At 37.5% G+C, this 23229-nt stretch overlaps 1 protein-coding gene across 2 annotated transcripts in view; it reads right to left on the reverse strand.

Moving 5' to 3' along the window:
* CNGB3 (cyclic nucleotide gated channel subunit beta 3) overlaps positions 1–23229 on the reverse strand; it is a 169456-nt gene that overhangs the window by 94696 nt on the left and 51531 nt on the right. For both annotated transcript variants that reach the window (NM_019098.5, XM_011517138.3), the window contains one exon: positions 2070–2224. In NM_019098.5, coding sequence (NP_061971.3) covers positions 2070–2224 — 155 coding nt within the window. The remainder of the gene's footprint in view (positions 1–2069; positions 2225–23229) is intronic.

Genomic DNA, 23229 nt, shown 5'->3' on the forward strand with positions numbered 1-23229 from the left:
CAGGCATGGTGGTGCACGCCTGTAGTCCCAGCTCCTCTGAAGGCTGAGGCAAGAGGATCATTTAAGCCCAAGAGTTAGAGGCGGCAGTCAGCTATGACTGTGCCACTGCACTCCAGCCTGGGTGACAGAGCAAGACCCTGCCATTAAAAGAATAAAATAAGATTAAATAAATATATAAATAAAATGTTTGTCTACACTGAAATATTTATGGATGAAATATAGTGTCTGGAATTTGCTTTAAAAGCTCATTGTAACTCCAATATTACAGGAAATAAATTTTAAAAAATGAAAAAAGAATATGTTAAAATAATTGAGCTGTACACTTAATATTTGTGGATTTTACAGTTTTTAAACTGTCTCAAATAAAAATGTAGCGTATAAAATAAAGACATTCTCACATTAAAAAAGAAAACAAATCATGTTGTATATCTTAAAGTATACAATAAAAACAAAATAAAATAGTAACATTTATGAAAATATACAGGTAATGAAAACACTGAAATTTGGAAATATGTAACAGGTTTAAAGCTCACAAATAAGGTGTCACAAAGGTGTTACAAATAGAGTATTTTAAATACAAGCTTGATTTTCACATACTTTGGAGCATTAATAAAGCCAGAGATCCGAAACACTGCAAACGTACATCATTCCACAGGTTTTGGTTTGGTGCTTCTTTACCCTCACACATGTCACACACAATATTCTTTTCAATATATCTTTATCGAAGTATAATAACTATGATTTCTTTTAGCCTCTTCTGTTTAAAAAGAAACTGTTATACAATACACAGTTTATTTTGAAAACCCACATTCTCTTATACAGAACTACAAGGAATCTCAACTCCATCCCATGTAATTATCAACTTGATTTGCATTTATATGTTAAACAACAAAGCTTTGTTCTATTCTTTTCCTGTATATATATAAATATTTTACATAGATGTAATCACAGTATGTATTACTTTTGTGCTCTATATTATCATATTGATTTTTTTTTTTTCGGAGTCTTGCTCTGTTGCCAGGCTGGAGTGCAGTGGCGCAATCTTGGCTCACTGCAACCTCTGCCTCCTGGGTTCAAGCGATTCCCCTGCCTCACCTCCCAAGTAGCTGGTACTACAGGCATGTGCCACCATGCCTTTCTGATTTTTTGTATTTTAGTAGAGACAGGGTTTCACCATGTTGGCCAGGATGGTCTTGATCTCCTGACCTCGTGATCTGCCTGCCTCGGCCTCCCAAAGGGCTAGGATTACAGTCATGAGCCACTACGCCTGGCCAATTAATTTTTCATACACACATTTTTGTAGTTATTAGCGTGGTTGATAATAGTCCCTCCCCTTACTTGATTGGTTTGTTGATGTCCTTTGCTCTCTTGGATACCCAGGTAATATTCCTGTGTTTTTATAATATGTACTTTGCATAACATGGGTATTTTAAATATTTACAATAAAATTTGTTATAGAAGATACTGTTTGTGTCCTACACATATATCCTGAGCCTGGAGGTCACCTGTAGGAGGCTTCCCTGCATCTGTCGGAGGATTTCCTCTAGCAGGTTTACTGAAAGTGCTGGGGAGGTAACAGTATCAGGCTCCAGCACCAACCAGTTTCCTCCTCTTCCATTCAAGTAATTTTCAAGTATGAGCCACACAGTTTTTCAGCTGGATAAAGCCCCAATGGCAGAGCAGTAGTCCTCTTATTCTTTTTCTTTTTTTTAATTAAAAAAAAGAGATAGGGCCTCACTATGCTGCCCAGGCTGGTTTCAAATTCCTAGGCTCAAGCAATCCTCCTGTCTTGGTCTCCCAAAGTGCTGGGATTATAGATGTGAGCCACTGCACCCTGCCAGGTGTGAGCCACTGCACCCCGCCAGTAATCCTCTTATTAACCCATCTGTACTGTCTTAACTTTGTTCTCTGTCTCACCACTCGTACCTTCCTGGATTACTCTCAAAATAAACTGTACGTAAATCATTTTCTCAGGGTCTGCTTTTGGGAGATCCAAACTAAAACATCTGCAAAACACAGGTCCCCTCAGCACTTCTTTCTTCCCAGTACTTGGAGGGAGCAATGCTTACCAGTTTGTGGGCTGGCTTCGGGTGAGGAGAGATCTCCCTCTACCAACTTTTTCTTGTAGAGGGCTGTTCTTTGACGCATTCTTTTCACCAGGTTGTGTAGCTGGGCATCGGCATACTCATTTATAACAGGAGCTGCAGGCGGTTTGTTTTGTGGGCTAAATGAGAAAAAAAATGGCAATAGAGATGGGCCCATGAAGAAATAGATATAAGGGAAAGATTAAATCTTTTCACCTTCCTTATATATTCAAGATTATTAACTTCCCCTTTTTTGCAATTGAATAGCACAATTCAAACATTAGGTTTAATGGAAATAGTGCTGGTGGAATACAGATTTGTTATTAAAAAAATTAGAATCCTCAAATAGCAAGTGGTAACTCTTGACCATATTGGATCTTGATGACAGTGATTCTGTTATTACATTGTATCACTAGGACAAGTAAAGCTACAGATGGTGGGGCAGGCAGAAGCCTAAGATGGCCCCAAGATTCCCTGCCCCTTGGTATATGTGCCTGCATAATCCCAGGGACAATAAGTATGGTGGTTTTATTCCCATCAGTAGTCCATGTTATGTGGCACAGTTGATAAGGAGATTATATAGGTGGGCCTGATCTAATCATACCAGGCCTTTAAAAGTAGAGTTTCTCCAGCTGCTGACACAGCAAGAAGGCAGAGATTTGAAGTACAAGGGAGATTTTACTTGAGATAAATCCTCCATGGCTGATCGTGAAGAAGAGGGTCACCTGGTTAGAATTTCATGAGGCCTCTAGGAGGCTGAGAGTGATTCCTGGCTAGCTGTTCACAAGAAAACAGAGACTTCAGAGGTACAACTGCGGGAACTGATTTTGCCAATAACCTGAATGAACTTGGAAGTAAATTCTTCACCACAGCCTCCCAGTGAGAGCCTAGTCTGGCCTGGCCAACACCTTGATTTCAGCCTTGTGAGACCTGAAGCCAAGAACCCGGTTGAGCCCACTCAGACTTCTGATTTGGACCCATTTGCTAATAGCTGGGTGGTTTTTAATTTAATTTTATTTATTTGTTATATCTTCAACTTTTATTTTTGGGTGTTGTTTTAAATCACTTAAGTATGTGGTAATTTGTTATGTGGCAATAGAAAAATAATGCAGCTGCTGTGCTTCAATGAACTTCCTTTTGATTTTTTGTTTGTTTGTTTGGACTGAGTCTCACGTTGTCGCCCAGGCTGGAGTGCAGTGGTGTGATCTTGGCTCACTGCAATCTCTGCCTCCCAGGTTCAAGCAATTCTCATGCCGCAGCCTCCCAAGTAGCTAGGACTACAGGTGCATGCCACCACGCCTAGCTAATTTTTGTAGTTTTAGTAGAGACTGGGTCTCACCATGTTGGCCAGGCTGGTCTCGAACTCCTGACCTCAGGTGGTTTGCCTGCCCTGGCCTCCCAAAGTGCTAGGATTACAGGCTTGAGCCTCCGTCCCCAGCCAATGAACTTCCTTTCTGAGAAAATACACAAACAGCCTAGCATGGAGCATAGAGTAGACATTAGGATACTTCATCAAGACCTGAGCTTCTTCACAGATTTCCCTCAGAGCTCTCACTGTCTATCTTCCTTCCAATGTCTGACATTGGGTCTACATGAGCCCATGTAGGCTCCATCCATACTCTTCTCATATCTGCCCTTCCCATCTCACCTCCAAGTGGCAGCCCATGGGGTTCACAGCGCATCTGGGCAACTTGTAGATTCCACTTAAGAAAATCTCAGTATTGAGTATGAGCCCCTCTCCATGAACCCCTTCCCTACATGGCCCACAGATATATTACATCTATAAATGTTTACAGGTTCCCAGACTACCCATGTTTTTCTCTCTTACCTTCTTATTATCATGGTACAATTTATACTTCTTTCAAAGGTAAACGGTCCTGTCTCAGAATCAAGATCTCCAAGTATGTCACATTAGGACATATAAAAGCCTACTTAAGGATGGTAGAGACCAACGGGCAGTGAACATAGTTCAGATTCATCTTCAACAGTTCAGAAATAGGTGGACACTAGGTCCATAAAGCCAGAATAACTTTTTTCCTGATTAAGACTTGTTGTCATAGATATAATTTCACTGATTCCTTCTTAAAGGTGTGCTTAGAAGTTTATTCATCCATCAAGCAGTTATTGAGTTTCTACTTTATGTACTGCAAATAGAAATATAAGTTACACAGTGTCAGGCCCGATAGTTGTTCATAGTTTAATGGGGGAAACAAGGATGTCAATCCATAGCTAATGGTAAATAATAAAAACATGTGCAAAGTACTTTGCTCCACACTGAATTTAGCCTGGGGTGTCAAGGAGGGGCTTTGTAGAGGAAGTACACTGTCTTAAGGGACCAGCATATCTTTGACAGATAAATGATAGACTGTCTTTTAGGCATGGAGAGTGATATGTTCAAAGGCATGAAAGAACATGGCATGTTCAGCAGATTTTGGTGTGATTGGAACAGAGTATATGTGTGTGTGTGTAGGGGGCCAGGTGGCAGAGGGTGGCAGGAGTGATGGTGGTTGGGTATGGAAAGGAAAGGTGAGTGAAGTCAGGTTATGATGGTCCCATGTGATCTATTGAGGAGTTTAGACATTAAGCAGTGGGCAAAGAGAGCCAATGCAGGGTATTAAGCAGACGAAAGGCCTGAGCAGACAGCTTTGAACTTTGGAAAATTAGCAATAGTGAGAGGATAGGCTAATGAGCTGTACTGGAGCTTTTGGATAATTCAAAGAAGAAATCAAGAATGACTAAGTTTCTATTACAAGAGACTAGACTCATGAAGATGACATCAATATAAATAGGAATTCAGGAAGCAGATGTTTGTATGAAGTAGCGGCATGAAAAAATTTTTTGTGTGTGTATCTTCAGTTTGAGGTGTTTGTAGGACCTTGTGTGATAAAACCTTGTCTGTGATATTCAGGAGACATTCAGAAATACAGTTCTGACAATAAGAACTTGGGGTTCATCAGTGATTATGGAATATTTGAAGTGATTTATGTGTATAACACCATCATAGACTGTAAGATTCTCAAAGCAAGGAACTGTGTCTTTTCTTCATACTCCATAAGATCAGCACAACGTAGGTTTTAATAAATGCTTATTGAGTAAATACACCCACTACTTTTAACAATTTGTTTGACCTTAGTTGATGTGCCTGAGTGCTTTAAAATATATATAAAAAGCTATGTTGAATGTTGCTGAATCATTAACTATAAAGTCAGGTATTCAAACTGTCAAACTCTCCAGTGTCCCAAGATCTGAGGAGAATATTTTTTCTTTCCCTGAATTATCTATAAGCCCTAATTGACCATATAATTGCCATTTAGTTATATTACTTTGTAGTGTGCAAACCCACCTCATGGTTAAAATGCTGAAATTCACATGAAAAAGAATGCAAGCATATCAAATACATATCTATATTTTAACTACTATGCATTTTTGTCTTTATGTTAGCTGGAGCATTATGATGTCATTTTATTTCATCTTCTTGTCTTTCTCCAGCTTCTTTTCTAGGATCCTTGCCATTCTCCTCTGCCTATATACATATGGAAGCCATGAATGTATTTTTCTTTAGGTAATTTTGTTATGGAACAGGAAAGGCAAATAGAGAGGAAGAAACATACATCATGAGATAAAACCCAAAAGGGATAAAAGAAAGAACCAATGGTTTTGCCTTATGTAACTATGCTTCATCTGAGCTCTGTTTGCTATTTCTTGTTTATATTACCAATTTTATGCTTTTTAAAGAATTATTCCTAATTCCATGATGAAAGTTTTGGTAAACAGTAAAAATATCTTACAATTTAACTTTTGTGTGTGTGTGTGAGATAGGGTCTTGCTCTGCTGCCCAGGCTGGAGTGCAGTGGTACAATCATAGCTCACTGCAGCCTTGACTTCCCTGGGCTCAAGCCATCCTCCCACCTCAGTCTCTTGGGTTGCTGGGACTACAGGTGTGCAACACCACACCTGTCTAATATTTCTTTCTTTCTCTCTTTTTGTTGTTGTTGTTGTTGTTGTTGTTGTTGTTGTTGAGACAGGGTCTTGCTCTGTCACCCAGGCTGGAAAGCAGTGGTGCAATCTCGGCTCACTGCAACCTCTGCCTTCCAGGTTCAAGCAATTCTGCTGCCTCAGCCTCCCGAGTAGCTGGGGTTACAAGTGTCCACCACCACACCTGGCTAATTTTTGTATTTTTTAAATTAGACACAGGGTTTCATCATGTTGGCTAGGTTGGTCTAGAACTCCTGACCTCATGTGATCCACCTTCTTCGGCCTCCCAGAGTGCCGGCATTTCTTTTGTGTGTGAGTCTGTAGACATGAGGTTTCACCAGGTTGCTCAAGCTGGTCTCAAACTCCTGGGCTCAAGCAATCTTCCTGCCTTGGCCTCCCAAAGTACTGGGATTACTGTTGTGAGCCACTGTCCCCAGCCAATTCTACAAATTTTGATAAACATAGGAGGAAACTCATATTGGATAGTTGTCTTCCTATTCTATTCTATTTTGTTCTGTTCTAGAGATGGGGTCTCACTCTGTCACCATCATAGCTTACTGAGGCCATAAACTCCTGAGCTCAAGCAATCTTCCCACCTCAGCCTCCTGTGTAGCTGGCAAAAGGTGTGTGCCATCATGCCTTGCTAATTTATTTATTTTTTCTAGAGATGGGGTCTTGCTTTGTTGCCCAGGCTGGTCTTTAAGTAGGAGCTCCTGCCTCAGCCTCCCAAAGTACTGGGATTGCAGATGTCAGTCACAAAAGATGGCCTAAAATTTTATTTATATATCTCTATGAAAGAATAAAGGATTGGTTATTGTTAGAATAAAATTTGTGACTTTTTTTGATAAAGGTACAAGGGAAACTCATTTTTTAAAAAGCTGATGAAAAAGAAAAGAACTATAGTAGTTTCCTTATTTCTTTAAATTCAGTCAGAGGCACAGGCCAACAAAATTGTATAATTAACAATTAGGATTACAGAAGTTTTTACCCTCTAGGGCAATGCTAGTAAGATTGGAATGGGTGAGGCGAGTTAAGTTTTTTGTTGTTTGGGGTAAAGTGGTGGGGTTGCGGGGAAGTCCACTGTGAAAAGGAAGATAGGAAAGAAAAACACCTGGTCTGCAGCTGCACTCAATATTATTAGTTTTAAGAAAGAGAACATTTATAAGACGTGGATCTTGAAATTGGTTCTTTTAAAACTGTGTTTGTTAGGACTCTAAGAAAGTTTTGACGTGCACGCAGGGATAACATATTCTCTAGTTTAAGATGGCTGCTTTAGTATAACATGGAGAGATGACTAATTTTGATGAGCATGGTAACATGAGTGGGTGGTGATCTGCGGTGAGTTTACAGCAGAGGTGGTTTCCTAGTTGAATCATGAAGGATGGACAGCACTTTGATAATATAAAGGGAAGGTATTCAAGGCAAAGGAAACAGCTTTAGAAAAGGGGTGTTCATCGCTGCCTAATAGAATACAATAAAGGCTCAAACATTTTAACGTAAGATCCCAAGTGACCTAAAATTTGTCTTGAATGGTCAGTTGAGGTTGATGGGGAACCATGGCAGAATTCTAAGCAGAAGAGGGACATGATTAGCTATGCTTTGGAAGAATAATTAAAAAAGAAAGAAGATAATTAGTTGCAGTAAGGAGGAAGTGTGACTTGAAGAAGGGAGATAATCAACTTAAAATATGTAGGTTAATGTCAGAGTATGGAATTCCATGTTTGGTCATTGTACTACATTGAATAATATTCTGCCAACATTTGTGTCCACCTGGAACCTCAGAATGTGACCTTATTTTAAAATCGAGTCTTTATAGATTTAACTATTTAAGTTAAGATGAAGCCATACCGGAGTAGGTTGGGCCCTCAATCCAGTGACTGGGGTCTTTATAAGAAGCCTAAGTGCTGGAGTGGCCTATCAACTACAAGCCAGTAACGCTGCCTTTCCTATTTTTGCATCTGCTCATGAATATAGTAATTTACATATAGTTAATTTATGTCTGCCGAGTCTCTCAGGTACACTGATGATGAATAAATCAGAACAGTATGAATTTTTTTTAAAAAAGCCTAGTTGAAGACAGAGAAGAGACGCAAGGAGAATGCCATGTGACAACAGTGGCAGAAATTGGAGCACTACATTGCTAAGTCAGAAAACACAAAGGATTGTTGGTGATCACCAAAAGCTGGGAGAGAGAGCATGGAAAAAATTCTCCCTCAGCTCTTTCAAAAGGACCAACCTTGAATTCAGGCTTCTAGCCTCCAGAACTGCGAGAAAATAAATATCTGTTGTTTTAAGCCACCCAGTTTGTGGTAATTTGTTATGGCAGTCTTAGGAAACTAACAGAGTTAGCAAAGCAGATAATTATGATAACATATGGACAACTCATATGGAAGCATAAGTTGTAAGAGAAATAGCAATACATTCAGTTTAGTAAATGTGAAACTTGAGTCGTAAGTTAAGAATCAAGGTCTCTTTCAATACATTTGGTACAGAAAGCAGTTGAGAATTTAGGTCTGGAAATCGGAAGGGAGGACTGCGTGGTAGATATTGAACTAGGTTGAAATCACCTGTCTAGAGGATGTGGTGGGAATGATATAGTGGATGAGATTACCAGTAAAAGCCTGCATAGAACAAGAAAAATTGGGAAGTCACAACCTTGGAATTTACTGACATTTACGGCATAGCATAAGAAAAGGAACTGAGAAGTAGCAATTAGAGAGACAGATCTAAAAGAGAAAAATGCCACAAAAAATCAGGGAAGGTAAGAGTTTGAAAAAGGAAGTCAGTGGCATCTTATGCTGCACATAAAGTGAGTAGGATGGGGGCAAGTAAGAGTTCACTGGTCATCTTTAAGAACATTGGTTAGGGAGATATGTAATGCCATCAAATTTTGTCATTTTCTCCCCATTTGTCTTAACAAGTATTTTGTGAAACAGGTATGTAGACTCTTGTGTTTGTTCTCTAAATAGTATTTTGAATTTCTGTTCATTATTTTCTTTTGCAAACTTTGCTAGATTCCTTTTAATTCTTAATTAAGAATTAATTCATTTTTCAGCGACTTATTTCTCAAAAATCCCAGTTGGTTCAATTTTTTTAAAACCCACTATTTCTATCTTGTTGAATAACAGGCAGGAATTAGGCGAAGAGTATTGTATTCTAATTTGGGAAGTTTTTAGGGGAGAAAGGAGCACGTCCTTTTTCTTTTGCCATGTTTAGGCAATAATTAATGATAAATTCATACAGCTGCCCTCAAAAGTTACATCTGAAAAAAAATCTCACTTTACATACATGAGTATTTTTGGTGAGAATACATTTCTGAGTGAAAATAGCACAAAATTATGATTTTTTGCCAAAGTATGTGGCAGTCTACCATAAAGCCTATACATTTTAGGCAAATTTGGGAAAGTATAGATATAACTCAACCAAGTCTCACTTCACTCCCTTTTCACATTCACCTCTAAATGCTGTGAAGATTTTGAGTTGTTTATCACATTTCACTTGTGCATTATGGTATTGTTTGCACACATCAGTTTGTACATATGGTAATGTACATATGGATGTTATGATGCACAATTTCCTAACCTAAGTGATTCATGATCTGTGTAGAATATGCTGCAATGCATGTATGGTTCCAACACTTGTTTCCACACCCCATGTTAGCCGTCTACTCTCTAGAGCATTTCTTTAGTTAATCTGGAAGTGCTGGAGGTATGTCTCTGTTGTTTATTTTTGTTACTAGTGAATCATATTCTATTGTCCCAAAAATGTAATGGTACCTAACCCTGTTTAAAGTTAGTCAACCATTTTAAGGCTAAAGTAACAACAAAAAAAATTTCATAGATTGTGAATTTATATTATACACCCATATGTACACACACCTGCCTATATACACAAAAATCAACACACATAACCAATGGCAACCCTTCCAAAATCTAAATGCAATTGGAAAAAGAATGAATAAACATATCAGCATAAACATAGTCATAATACTAATATATTTAATTTCAGTAAACATTTAAAATTCCTCAATGGCTTCAGGTATTTTTTTGGGAGTAGAAAATTAACAAGTAGGGTGACCCTGCTTTTACCATTTTTTCTCTGTGGAGTAGCAGCCTGAAAGAGTCAAAGAATGTTTGATACAATGTTCCTGAAAATTGGTGTCTTGGGGAAGTTATGAGGTGCATTTTGAACATCTCATTCATTTATTCAACTAATATTTATTGTGCACTTATTTTGCACCAGGAAAGCTCATCATATTCTGTATTCACTTTGAAGATTTTTTAGTTAACATTCCTCTCTTTCATTTTACACACACTCTTACATTTATTAGTTTATTTATTTGTTAGTTTATACTCTTCCTTATTAGTTTGTTTATTGATGTTTTCTTTATTTAAAACGTGTTTCATTAGAATGTGTTATGGGCTAAATTTTGTTCCCCCAAAATTCATATGTTGTAGTCCTAACCCCTAATGTGACTGAATTTGGAGACACGACCTATGGGGAGGAATTAAGGTTATATGAAGTCATAAGGATAAGGCCCTAATCTGATAGGATTGATAGGATTGGTGTCCTTTTTCTTTCTTTCTTTCTTTTTCTTTTTCTTTTTTTTTGAAAAGGAGTCTTGCTCTGTCACCCAGGCTGGAGTGCAGTGGCACAATCTTGGCTCACTGCAACCTTTGCCTCCTGGATTCGAGCAATTCTCCTGTCTCAGCTTCCCAAGTAGCTGGGATTACAGTTGCCCACCACCATGCCTGGCTAATTTTTGTATTTTTAGTAGAGATGGAGATTTGCCATGTTGGCCAGGCTGGTCTTGAACTCCTAACCTCAGGTGATCCGCCCACCTTGGCCTCCAAAATTGTTGGGATTACAGGCATGAGCCACCGCGTCTGGCCAGGATTGGTGTCCTTATAAGAAAAAGAAGAGGGACTAAAGAGCACTTTCTTTCATCTCATTCACAGCGGAAAGTCCATATGGAAATACAGCAAGAAGGCAGCCATCTACTATCCATCTACGAGGAAGAGAGGCGGCTTCACCAGAACCGAGTCTGACAGCACCTTGATCTTGGACTCCTAGCCTCCAGAACTGTGAGAAAATACATTTCTGTTTGTTAAGCCTGTGATATTTCAGTCAGTGGTATTTCATTATGGAAGCTCAAGTGGACTAACCTGGAATACATACATATCAAGAAAAAAGGGGTAAATCTATTTTAAGAAGCAGGTGAAAAATTAGATCAAGATATTAGGCCAAATGCCATACATCCCGAGATGACAGAAAAAAATGTTGTGAAAACTCTACAATGCTGGAAAGCAAGACATTGCCACCAGTAAGCCAGAAAATTTGAGACATTTCTGAAAGTTAGAAAGCATATGGGTTCATATGTTAGCTCATTTAATGCTCACAGTTGTAAAGTGCTCAGAACAGTGTTGATGTTAATGAAAAAAACCATCATTCAAAACAGTCACAGGAGACGTTCATTGCAAAGTGAGAGGGTTCTGAGAGAGTTTTACCCTTGGAGGAAGTGAATACAAGGGACCAGAAGGGGCCATGGTCAACCATTGGGGTGATTCCACACCAATTGCATTCAGAGTAATGAAGTAGGTTGCTCTCTTTTTGACCAAACCTGCATTCAGTTGATAAGTGCAGAAGCATTTTCCTCTAGGTGGTGAGAGGGAATTTGGACTAGAGAAGCAGAGCTGTATCTTAGCAGGATGGCAACAATCAAAAGGAATGGGGGACTCTATGCCCAGACAGTGAGTTGGTCTTATACTACTCTTGACAGTGGTTTTCCCTCATAGTGTAGAAAGAATACGGTCAAGTGAACATCATTTACAGCAATGGCGTACCAAGTTGTGGGGTGAGGAGGGGAGGTGGAGTGAGAGGAGGTTGTGGGACTCATCTTCCCCAGGTGTAGGCAATAAATGGGGGACATTGTCTGTAGGAAGTTTAAAAGAACTCCTAAAACAACTAAAAGTTGGTTTGATTTTTATTATCACCATGTGCTAATACTTCTTAAAAACACTGATAAAATGCTTCTATCCCCAAGGTAAACGGCTCCTACGCTTTGCTCTGTGTCCACTACAGATATACACAAGTTACAGGGGCAATATCAAGTACAAAGATGATCACACAAACACCAAATTACCAAGCGATTGCACAAAATCACTACTATGAGAAGCACTGAAGAAAACAAATTTAAAAACCCCAGTATCTAAAGAAACAGAATAACAAAGCTGATGATATTTTTAAAAAGCTTGATATCTTCATAAAGGTAGGAAAGTATATCTATTATATGTTGATTGGGATAGATTATTGCGAAAGGGAATAGATAAGAGACGTGAAGAGAAAAAATTTGATTATCCAAAAAACAAAAATAAACAACAAAAAAAGATTTGAGATTAGCTAAACTGCCGAATGAACACAACAGAGGAGAGAATGAGTTGAAGAATTCTCCCAGAGTGTAGCACAGGACAACAGGTGTAAAAGTACACAAGGAAAGTAAGACAGGACTGAAGTTACATCAGGTAAGAAAAGCATATGGAGAATAGATCTAGAAGTTACAACACCTGTATAAATTCCCAAAGGAGAGAACAGAGGAAAAAGAGAAGATAAATCAGTCAAAGAAACTGTAGGGAAACATTCTGCAGAGCTGAAGAAATGTACAAGTCTTCAGATTCAAAGAGGTCACCAGCGGTGAGTGAAATGAATAAGAGAAAACTCAAACCTGGCACACTGTCAGAAATCTCAGAACACTAAAATTAAAAAGAAAAATTCTAAAAGCTTCAAGAGATGGAAAAAAACAACAACCTTATAAAAACATTAGATTGGCTTCAGATTTCTCATTGACAACACTGAACACTAGAAGCTAATGGAGCAATGTCTCAAAATTTCCCAGGGAAAATAAATTTTCTTTGAACTCCATATTGCCAAACCCTAGATAAGATTATCTCTTTGCTTTTCTCAGGAAGACTTCACCTTCCAAGCACAACTCTTCCTTGCTAAGAAAGCAGCAAATTCCATTTTTGTGTCAGCTATTCAGTGGTGGCTTCTTCCTTTTACACTAGGAATATCATGTAAAAGGTAAAAATGTTTAAAAAGAAAAAGCAAATGAAGGAGTTGAAATTTTTCTTGGTGTAGCATGCAGAGCTCTGTAAAAGTTTTATTGAGATATTTAGTATAGGCCTTGAGGCTAAAGTAGATCTGCTGACCTTTCCCTGAATCTAAATTTTGGAACCACATGCTGAAGAGACATATGCTATTTCCACAGGTCGGGCTGTGGGCCTACTTACCCACCTACTGATCTTGAGTGAGGACTTCCTCTAAGAAGTAATTCATGCCCAGATGGACTTACTGCATGACAGAAGGAAACACCTAGAGAAAAATAAGTCCTGATTTCCTGCCTTTGAGGTGAAGCAATCCCAACCACTACTAAAGAGGGGTGGATGAATATCTTGGCTTCTGACCAATTAGGTCAGCAACTTCTCCAGCTATGAGTAAATTGGGAATGAAACAGGGGATAGCAAGAGGCCAGTTTGACAGGGGGATTGTAGAAGTACTTCAACTCCCCAAAACAAATATCAGTGTTTCTGAGGTTGATTTGTCATTGCCTCGATAGCAGGATGTGTGGCTGGGGTCTGGAGATGAAAGCAGAAGTACATGATGCAGAGATTGGCTTCTTTCATAGCGATGCCAGGAGAGATGTGTGGAGAGCTCCTGGAAGGGAGGGGTTCCATTCAAAACAATTCAATCCTCTAAATGCAAACGGAGGACATTTGTAGAAAGAGGGAAACCAAGAACGTCCGAGTCAATAATGCAAAATCGCATGTGAGGCTTAGAGAAACCAGAAAGAGCACAGACAGAAGGAAATCAGAGTAGGGAAGGGGGAAGAAGTCAGGGTGCCAATAAACAGAAATGTGGAGTAAGGTCCTGCTTCTGCACATTGGGATTCAGGACTGTAAGACAGAGTTCTAAACTCTGGTGACCTGTGTGTGGTTGAGGTCAGCTGTTAGAGCCCTGGAGCACCAGGCTCCCAGTTTTTGACCACTTAGAAATTAGGAGGTTCAGTGCCTGCCTGGGAAAATTCTTGGGCAGATTCTTCTTTAAGAGTGACTGGGTAGTAAATGGTTATCAGGATTATACTTCCTTGACTGGAAAATATTTACACAGCTTTTTTCTCTGAAAGTATAGATAGAGACATTATTTTTATTTCAGGTAAAGAATTAACAGCACCTAATAAGGAAAGAATGGAGAATGAATATTCAGTTTGATGTTGAAATAAAGGAGAGTGCAGTGCATATAGTTAAGAGATACTCTGAGTGCCAAATTAATGTCTGGTTCTTTTTCTTCTTCTAAACAAAAACCCAGGAAGATACACTGAGTTGGTCTGAATGCACTAAAGAGCCAAACTAAGCATATCCAAGCAGGTGGCTGGGTATGTGGGTGAAATTTAAATGATTTTTGACCTTCAAACCACTAAATGAAGGATAATGGAAATGTCTATTAGAAGTAGGTTAACAAAAAAGACTAAGGTGAAATTAAACAAATTGCTGATAACTGCTGAAACTCAGCAAGAGAACTGTACTGGTAGTCTGACTGTACATTGAAACATTCCTTAAGATGCAAACAGATGGTAATAACTTTTCTTTTTTAAGGAATTATATTTTCATGAAGACATTTATACTGACTAGGTCACTGCCCTAAGTCTTGATTGGTTATCTACTGCTAGGGACAGACCTGCAGGATATTCATGTACCATTAAAAAGCTACCAAGTGATTTTTGACAAAGGTGCAAGAGCAATTCAAAGGAGAAAAGATAGCCTTTTCAACAAATGGTGCTGGAGCAACTGGACGGCCATAGGCAAGAAAAGTGAACTTCAACCTAAACCTACACCTTATACAAAAAATTAACTCAAAATGGATCATGGACTTAAGTGGAGAACATAAAACTATATGTTTTAGAAAACAATAGGGAGAAGTTCTGGATCTATGGCTGGCAAAGAGTTCTTAAGTTGGACACTAAAAATACAGTCCATGAAAGCAAAAATCAATCAGATTGCACTTGATCAAAATGGGAAACTTTTGCTTTGTGAAAGATATTGTCATGTTAAAAGCATGAAAAGGCAAGCTACAAGCTGCAGAGTGGGAGAAAATATTCACAGACTACCTATCTGACAAAGGTCTAGTATCTAGGATATAAAGAATTCTCAAAATTCAACAGCAAAATACCAAAACAATCTAATTATGAAGTGGGTAAAACACATGAACAGACATTTCACGGAAGATGATATGCAGATGGCAAATAAGTAAATGAAAAGGTGTCTCGCATCATTAGCTATTGGGAAATGCAAATTATAACCACAATGAGCTATAACTACACATCTATCAGAATGGCTAAAATAAAAATAGTGACAACACCAAATGCTGGCAAGCCTGGGAAGAAACTGGATCACTCATACACTGCTGCTTGGAATGTAAAATGATGCAGTCACTCTGGAAAACAGTTTGACAGTTTCTTATAAAGCTAAACATGCAATTATCATATGACCCCTATAATTGTACTCCTGGGTATTTATCCTGGAGAAATAAAAACTTTGTGTTTTCACAAAAACTTGTGCACACATATTCATAGATTTATTTGTAATAGCCCCAAACTGGAAGTAACCTGGATGTCTTTCAATAAGTGAATGGTTAAACTGTGGTAAGTTCATGTCATGGAATACTTAAGCCAAAAAAAAAAAAAAAGGAATAAACTCTTGATGCACACACAATTTAGAAAGATCTCTGGAGAATTATATTGATTAAAAGCCAATCTCTAAAGACTATGTACTGTGTGATTCAATTTATATGACATTTTTGAAATAACAAAATTGTAGAGATGGAGAATAGCGATTGTCAAGGATCAGGTTTTGGTGTGGTTATAACAGTGCAACATGAGGGATCTTTGCAGCATGGAATTTTGTATTTTGACTGTGGTGGGGGGATACATGAGCTTGCACATGTAATAAAATTGCACAAAACTAAATATGCCATACACAAACACACACGCATGGATGAGTACAAGTAAAACTGGAGAAATATGAATAAGATCAGTGGATTATCATTGTCAACATCCTGGTTGTGAATTATCATTTTCAATATCCTGGTTGTGAGATTATTGTACTATAGTTTTGCAAGATGTTACAATTGGGGAAACTGGGTAAAGGGTATATGGGATATTTCTGTATTATTTCTTACAACTGCATGCAAATCTATCCCCAAATTAAATTTTTAATTCATAAAAAAGGCCTCACTAACCTGAGGGCAGGCTGTTTGCTTAGTTATGCTGAGCATACCTACTTATGCAGAACCTGGAGTTCTATAACCTTGTCACTCAGAGTGGTCCACAGACCTGTCACATTGGCATCCCCTGAGCACTTGTCTGGGCCCCTTCCTAGGCCTATTGAATCAGAATCTGCGTTTTCACAAGCTCCTCAGTTAATTTATATGCACGTCGACGTTTGAGAAACATTGTTTCATAAGAGGAGTCTTGCAATTTTATATTGTAAAATGTTGGCAAGAGCCACACTTCCTCCCCCACAAAGCTTAAACATCCTTTCTCTTCTCTTGAGAGAAGGGTAAAAAGTCCTGAGTTTTCTGGAATGCTAGCTGTGTCTATATCACTAACGATTCTCGCAAAACTCAGTGGCTTTATTAGGTTCCTTTCAGATGAATGAACTAAAGCCCAGTCTATCTTACTGAAAAGTCATATATGCAGATAGGTGATAGAAGGTTAGAAACAAATTATGACTGAGCTAACAGAAGAGAGAAGTGAAAATAATTAGAACTCAATGTTTATTGAGCTTTAAATAGTCAGTATTTTGATTTTAAGAGGCAGAACTAGTCTTATAATGAATATCTTCTCCTTAAAAAATGGAGAACATTTAGAATACATGGAACACAACTAAATAAGAATATAGTTATTAGGGTTTTATGTTAGCAGTATGTGCCAGAAGGTGAATTTTTTAATATTTAAACTGAATGACACAAACTTAGTTTGCATATATGTAAAGTAAACTAATATTTTACAGAGGAGAATAATGTATTAATAATAAACCATGGGAAAACACTTTGAATCTTCAAGAGGAAAATGTAGAAAAGAAGAACACCATATGGTACTATAACATAAATTTCTAAGGCTATTCAGAGAGGTAGGCTACTCTCCTGATGAACATTGTCATCAAATTTTACGGTCCAAATTACTTACCATGTCTTGTGCAAATAATTTGTATGGTCTGTCACATACTGTATTACACTGAATATTCAATTCAAATAGCCTAGTTTCTGAAGGGCATAACAGCACATAGCTGTAAAACTTACTCATAAATCATATGGGCATGGTTAATGGAGCTCACCGTTCGATCTATTTGTAGTCAGTACAGATCTGGGATGTGCATCACAGATTTTTATATAAATTGAGGACATCAACAGTCATATAAATTTGCATTTGCAACTTGATTTCTCTTAGTGAATGTGACAGAATCATCCTATTGGCTACAAGCAAACTGCAAAAGCAGTGTAAAAGATATTACATCCTTAAAGTATTGCAGACACCCTATGGATCTGTTCTTTTTAATTTGATATTTGAGAAGAAGAGATAATTGAAAGCAAAACTGTGTAAGAATCCTTTTGGAAACTGAAATCTGTACTTGGCTTTCTAGCAGTAACCTAAATACAGGGTGTTCTGCATTGATAAGAGGCTGGGATTACTATGGTTCCTACCGTGCTATCTGTGGTACTAGGTTCTTAAACTTTTGACTCAGGTGATAAGGTACTTGTCATAAAGGCTTTAAGTGTGACTATGGTGACATTGGAAGTAAGAGATCACAGTACCACAGCTGGAGAAAGGTATATTGCTTTTATACTCATGAACACTAGATATTTGTATTTGCTTGTATGCAGGGAAAATTCAAGTTTTGTAGTGCCAGGAACTTATATAATTTTTATGTCTCTTTTAAAGAAAAACAATAGAAAATTATAAATTCTAATTTCAACATAGAATTTTCACTGAAAGAATCTGAAGCTTAAGCTTTATTAGCTTCATAGTAAAGTCATCTCTGAAGATGTTAAAGATTGTTCAAAACACCACAGTGTTTTAAAACCTACCATCCAGGAGTACCACTTCACACTCACTAGGATGGCTATAATAAGAAAAATGGACAATAAGTGTTGGTGAGTTTGTGGAGTAACTGGAACCCTCATACCTTGTTGGGAATATGAGATGGTTCAGTCATTAAACTGTAAAAAACAGTTTGGCAGTTTCTCAAAAAATTAACCATAGAATATTCATAATAGCATTATTCACAGTAGCCAAAAGGTGGCCACCAGCCAAGTGTCCATCATTAGATAAACATACAATATATACACAATGAAGCATTATTCAGCCATATAAAAGAATGAAGTACTGGCACATGCTATAATATGGATGAACCTAGAAAACATTATGCTAAGTGAAAGAAGCTAGACACAAAAGGCCATATATGGTATGATTTCATTCATATGAGATAACGAGAACAGACAAGTTCATAGAGACAAAATGCAAATGTTGAATACCAGGAACTGGGAGGAGCAGAGAATAGGGAGAAACTGTTCAATGTGTAAAAGATCTTACTTTAGAGTGATGGAAACTTTTTGGAACTAGACAGAGGTGGCAGTTGCGCAACACTGAATGTACTAAATGCTACTGTGAATGTATAAGTGCACTTTGGTTAATTGTGTGTTATCTGAATTTCCCCTCAATCAATTATTTTTTTAAAATCCACCATTATTCATCCACTCAATAAACACTTCTTGATGTATTAGGCCTTTGACTGGGAGCTGGAGATATAAAGACCTTGCCCCCAAGAAGCATAGTACAGTATAGGACAACCTTGTAGTATGGTAAGTTCCAAATCAAGTGTTTATAGAGTGCCTATTATGAAATAGATATCCAAATATGTTAAGAAGGTAAATCACGTTACTTATTCTTAAATAATTCAATATCGAAATGAAAAACACAATTACAGAATTGTGTGACATTCACAGTGAGTAATAAGAAAGGAATTATCAGGCAACCTTCAAAAAACAAACAGGGCTTCAGATTATTGCAAAAGGTGTATGGGTTTAAGAAATGGAGAGTACTATGGGATGAAAATGAACAGAAGCGTGAGGGTATGAAGGAGTTTGGATCTTATGGGAGCTAAGAGAGGACCACGAGAGAGATGTTTTGCATGGTACTTGTTTTCTTTTTCTCTCAACTGGGAAGATTTTTATTGTGAACCTGAGCTAAGATGATACTCAATAAATTTTGTACATTGATCCTTAATTTGTTCTCTAAAACTACACGGCACAAATCTAACCCCTCTTCCATAAAATGGACAAATATTACCTGAAGACAATCATCATTTCTTTCCCATCATAAGCCTTAATTTTTTTCAGGATGCCATGTTACTAAGGATATTTTTCTGCAGCATGATATTGAGACCCCTTCATTATCATTGTGGTTGCCTTTCCTGGAAGCACTCTCTTTGTCAGAGTTCCTTTCAAGACGCCAAGTAGGAAACAGAATACCACAGGCCTGCTTGATTTTATTTTATTTTTTTGAGACAGTTTCTTTCTGGAATTTATCAATTTCTTCTAGATTTTCCAACTTCTTGGCATATAGTTCCTCACAGCAGCCTTTAATGATCCTTTGAATTTCTGCAGTATCAGTTGTAATGTCTCCTTTTTCATCTCTCATTTTATTTATTTGGATATATTTTTTTCTTAGTCTTGCTAAAGGTTTGTTGATTTTGTTTATCTTTTTTTAAAAAACCAACTTTTCATTTCATTGGTCTTTTTTTAAAAAATTCTATTTCATTTATTTCTGCTCTGACTATTTGTTTTACTGTACTGATTTTGGGTTTTGCTTTCTCTTGCTTCTCTTGTTCTTTAATATAGTTGTTTACTTGAAGTTTTTCTACTTTTTTAGGTAGGTGCTTATTGCTATACACTTTCCTCTTAGTACTGATTTCACCATAGGCCACGGGTCTTGGTATGTTGTGTTTCTATTATTTGCTTCAAGCAATTTTTAAATTCTTTTTTTTTTTTATTAACCCATGGGTCATTCAGGAGCATTTTGTTTAATTTCCATGTGTGTATAGTTTCCTCTTGTTATTGATTGTCAGTTTTATTCCATTGTGGTCAGAGAAGATTATTGATATAATTTCATGTTTTTTTTTTCAATTTTTAAGGACTTGTTTTGTGGCCTAACATATGGTCTACCCTTGAGAATGATCCATTTGCTGAGAAGAAGAATTTGTGCTCTGTAGCCATTGGATGAACTGTTCCATAAAATTTCATTAGTTCTGTTTGGTCTGTAGTGCAGATTAAGTCCAATGTTTCTTTGTTGATTTTCTGTCTGGAAGATATATCCAATGCTGAAAGTGGGGTGTTGAGGTCTCCAGGTATTACTGTATTGGGGCCTATCTTTCTCTTTAACTCTAATAGTATTTGCTATATATATCTGGGTGCTCCAGTGTTGTATGCATATATATACACACACACAAACCAATTATATATATATATTTTTTTTACTTTTTATTTTTATTATTTCTTTATTTTTTTATTTTTATTTTTATTTTTATTTTTTATTATACTGTAAGTTCTAGGGTACATGTGCACAACGTGCAGGTTTGTTACATATGTATACATGTGCCATGTTGATGTGCTGCACTCATTAACTTGTCACTTATATTAGGTATATCTCCTAATGCTATCCCTCCCACCTCCCCCAACCCCACAACAGGCCCTGGTGTGTGATGTTCCCCTTCCTGTGTCCAAGTGTTCTCATTGTTCAATTCCCACCTGTTGTGTGAGAACATGCGGTGTTTGGTTTTCTGTCCTTGTGATAGTTTGCTGAGCATGATGGTTTCCAGCTTCATCCATGTCTCTACAAAGGACATGAACTCATCCTTTTTTATGGCTGCATAGTATTCCATGGTGTATATGTGCCACATTTTCTTAATCCAGTCTATCATTGTTGGACATTTGGGTTGGTTCCAAGTCTTTGCTATTGTGAGTAGTGTCACAGTAAACATACATGTGCATGTGTCTTTATAACAGCATGATTTGTATTCCTTTGGGCATATACCCAGTAATGGGATGGCTGGGTCAAATGGTATTTCTAGTTCTAGATCCCTGAGGGATTGCCACACTGACTTCCACAATGGTTGAACTAGTTTACAGTCCCACCAACAGTGTGAAAGTGTTCCTATTTCTCCACATCCTCTCCAGCACCTGTTGTTTCCTGACTTTTTAATGATCACCATTCTAACTGGTGTGAGATGGTATCTCATTGTGGTTTTGATTGGCATTTCTCTGATGGCCAGTGATGATGAGCATTTTTTCATGTGTTTTTGGCTGCATAAATGTCTTCTTTTGAGAAGTGTCTGTTCATATCCTTCGCCCACTTTTTGATGGGGTTGTTTTTTTCTTGTAAATTTGTTTAAGTTCTTTGTAGATTCTAGATATTAGCCCTTTGTCAGATGAGTAGATTGCAAAAATTTTCTCCCATTCTGTAGGTTGCCTATTCACTCTGATGGTAGTTTCTTTTGCTGTGCAGAAGCTCTTTAGTTTACTTAGATCCCATTTGTCAATTTTGGCTTTTGTTGCCATTGCTTTTGGTGTCTTAGACATGAAGTCCTTGCCCATGCCTATGTCCTGAATGATATTGCCTAGGTTTTCTTCTAGGGTTTTTATGGTTTTAGGTCTAACATGTAAGACTTTAATCCATCTTGAATTGATTTTTGTATAAGGTGTAAGGAAGGGATCCAGTTTCAGCTTTCTACATATGGCTAGCCAGTTTTCCCAGCACCATTTATTAAATAGGGAATCCTTTCCCCATTTCTTGTTTTTGTCAGGTTTGTCAAAGATCAGGTAGTTGTAGATGTGTGGTGTTATTTCTGAGGGCTGTGTTCTGTTCCATTGATCTATATCTCTGTTTTGGTACCAGTACCATGCTGTTTTGGTTACTGTAGCCTTGTAGTATAGTTTGAAGTCAGGTAGTGTGATGCCTTCAGCTTTATTCTTTTGGCTTAGGATTGACTTGGCAATGCAGGCTCTTTTTTGGTTCCATATGAACTTTAAAGTAGTTTTTTCCAATTCTGGTTTGGTATAATTTTAAGTTTTGTTTTGTTTTGTTTTTGCACCTGTTGTAAAAGGAGTTGAGTTCTTGATTTCATTCTCAGCTTGGTTGGTGTTGGTGTATAGCAGTGCTGCTGATTTGTGTACATTTATTTTGTAATCTGAAACTTTACTGAATTCATTTATAAGATCTAGGAGCTTTTTGGATGAGTGTTTAGGGTTTTCTAGGTATACAATCATATCATTGGTAAACAGCAACATTGACTTCTTCTTTATCAATTTGGATGCCATTGATTTCTTTCTCTCTTCTGATTGCTTTGCTTGAGACTTCCAGTACTATGTTGAATAGAAGTGGTGAGAGTGGGCATTCTTGTCTTATTCCAGTTCTCAGGGGAAATGCTTTCAACTTTTCCCCATTCAGTACTATGTTGGCTATGGGTTTGTCATAGATGGCTTTTATTACCTTAAGTTATGGCCCTTCTATGCCGATTGCTATCAGTTGTAGTATCTCCCATTTTGTTTCTAGTTGAGCTTCTTTGGATCTTATCTCTTCTTTTCTTGGTTAATCTTGCTAATGCTGTATTTATTTTGTTTACTTTTCAAATAACCAGTGTTTTTGTTTCATTTCTCTTTTGTATTTTTTGTTTCAATTTCATTTAGTTCTGCTCTGACTTTGGTTATTTCTTTTCTTCTGCTGGGTTGTGGGTTGGTTTGTTTTTGTTTCTCTAGCTCCTTGAGGTGTAACTTTAGATTGTCTCTTTGTGCTCTTTCAGATTTCTTGTTGCAGGTATTTAATGCTGTGAATTTTTTTCTTGGCACTGCTTTTGCTGTATCCAAGAGGTTTTGATGGGTTATGTCACTATTATTGTTCAGTTCAAATAATTTTTTAATGTTCATCTTGATTTCATTGTTGACCAAATGATCATTCAGGAACAGGTGATTTAATTTTCATGTATTTGCATGGCTTCGAGGGTTCCTTTTGGAATTGATTTTCAATTTTATTCCACTGTGGTCTGAGACAGCACTTGCTATAATT

This window comes from Homo sapiens, chromosome 8 (genome assembly GCF_000001405.40).
Source record: "Homo sapiens chromosome 8, GRCh38.p14 Primary Assembly".
Lineage (NCBI taxonomy): Eukaryota > Metazoa > Chordata > Mammalia > Primates > Hominidae > Homo > Homo sapiens.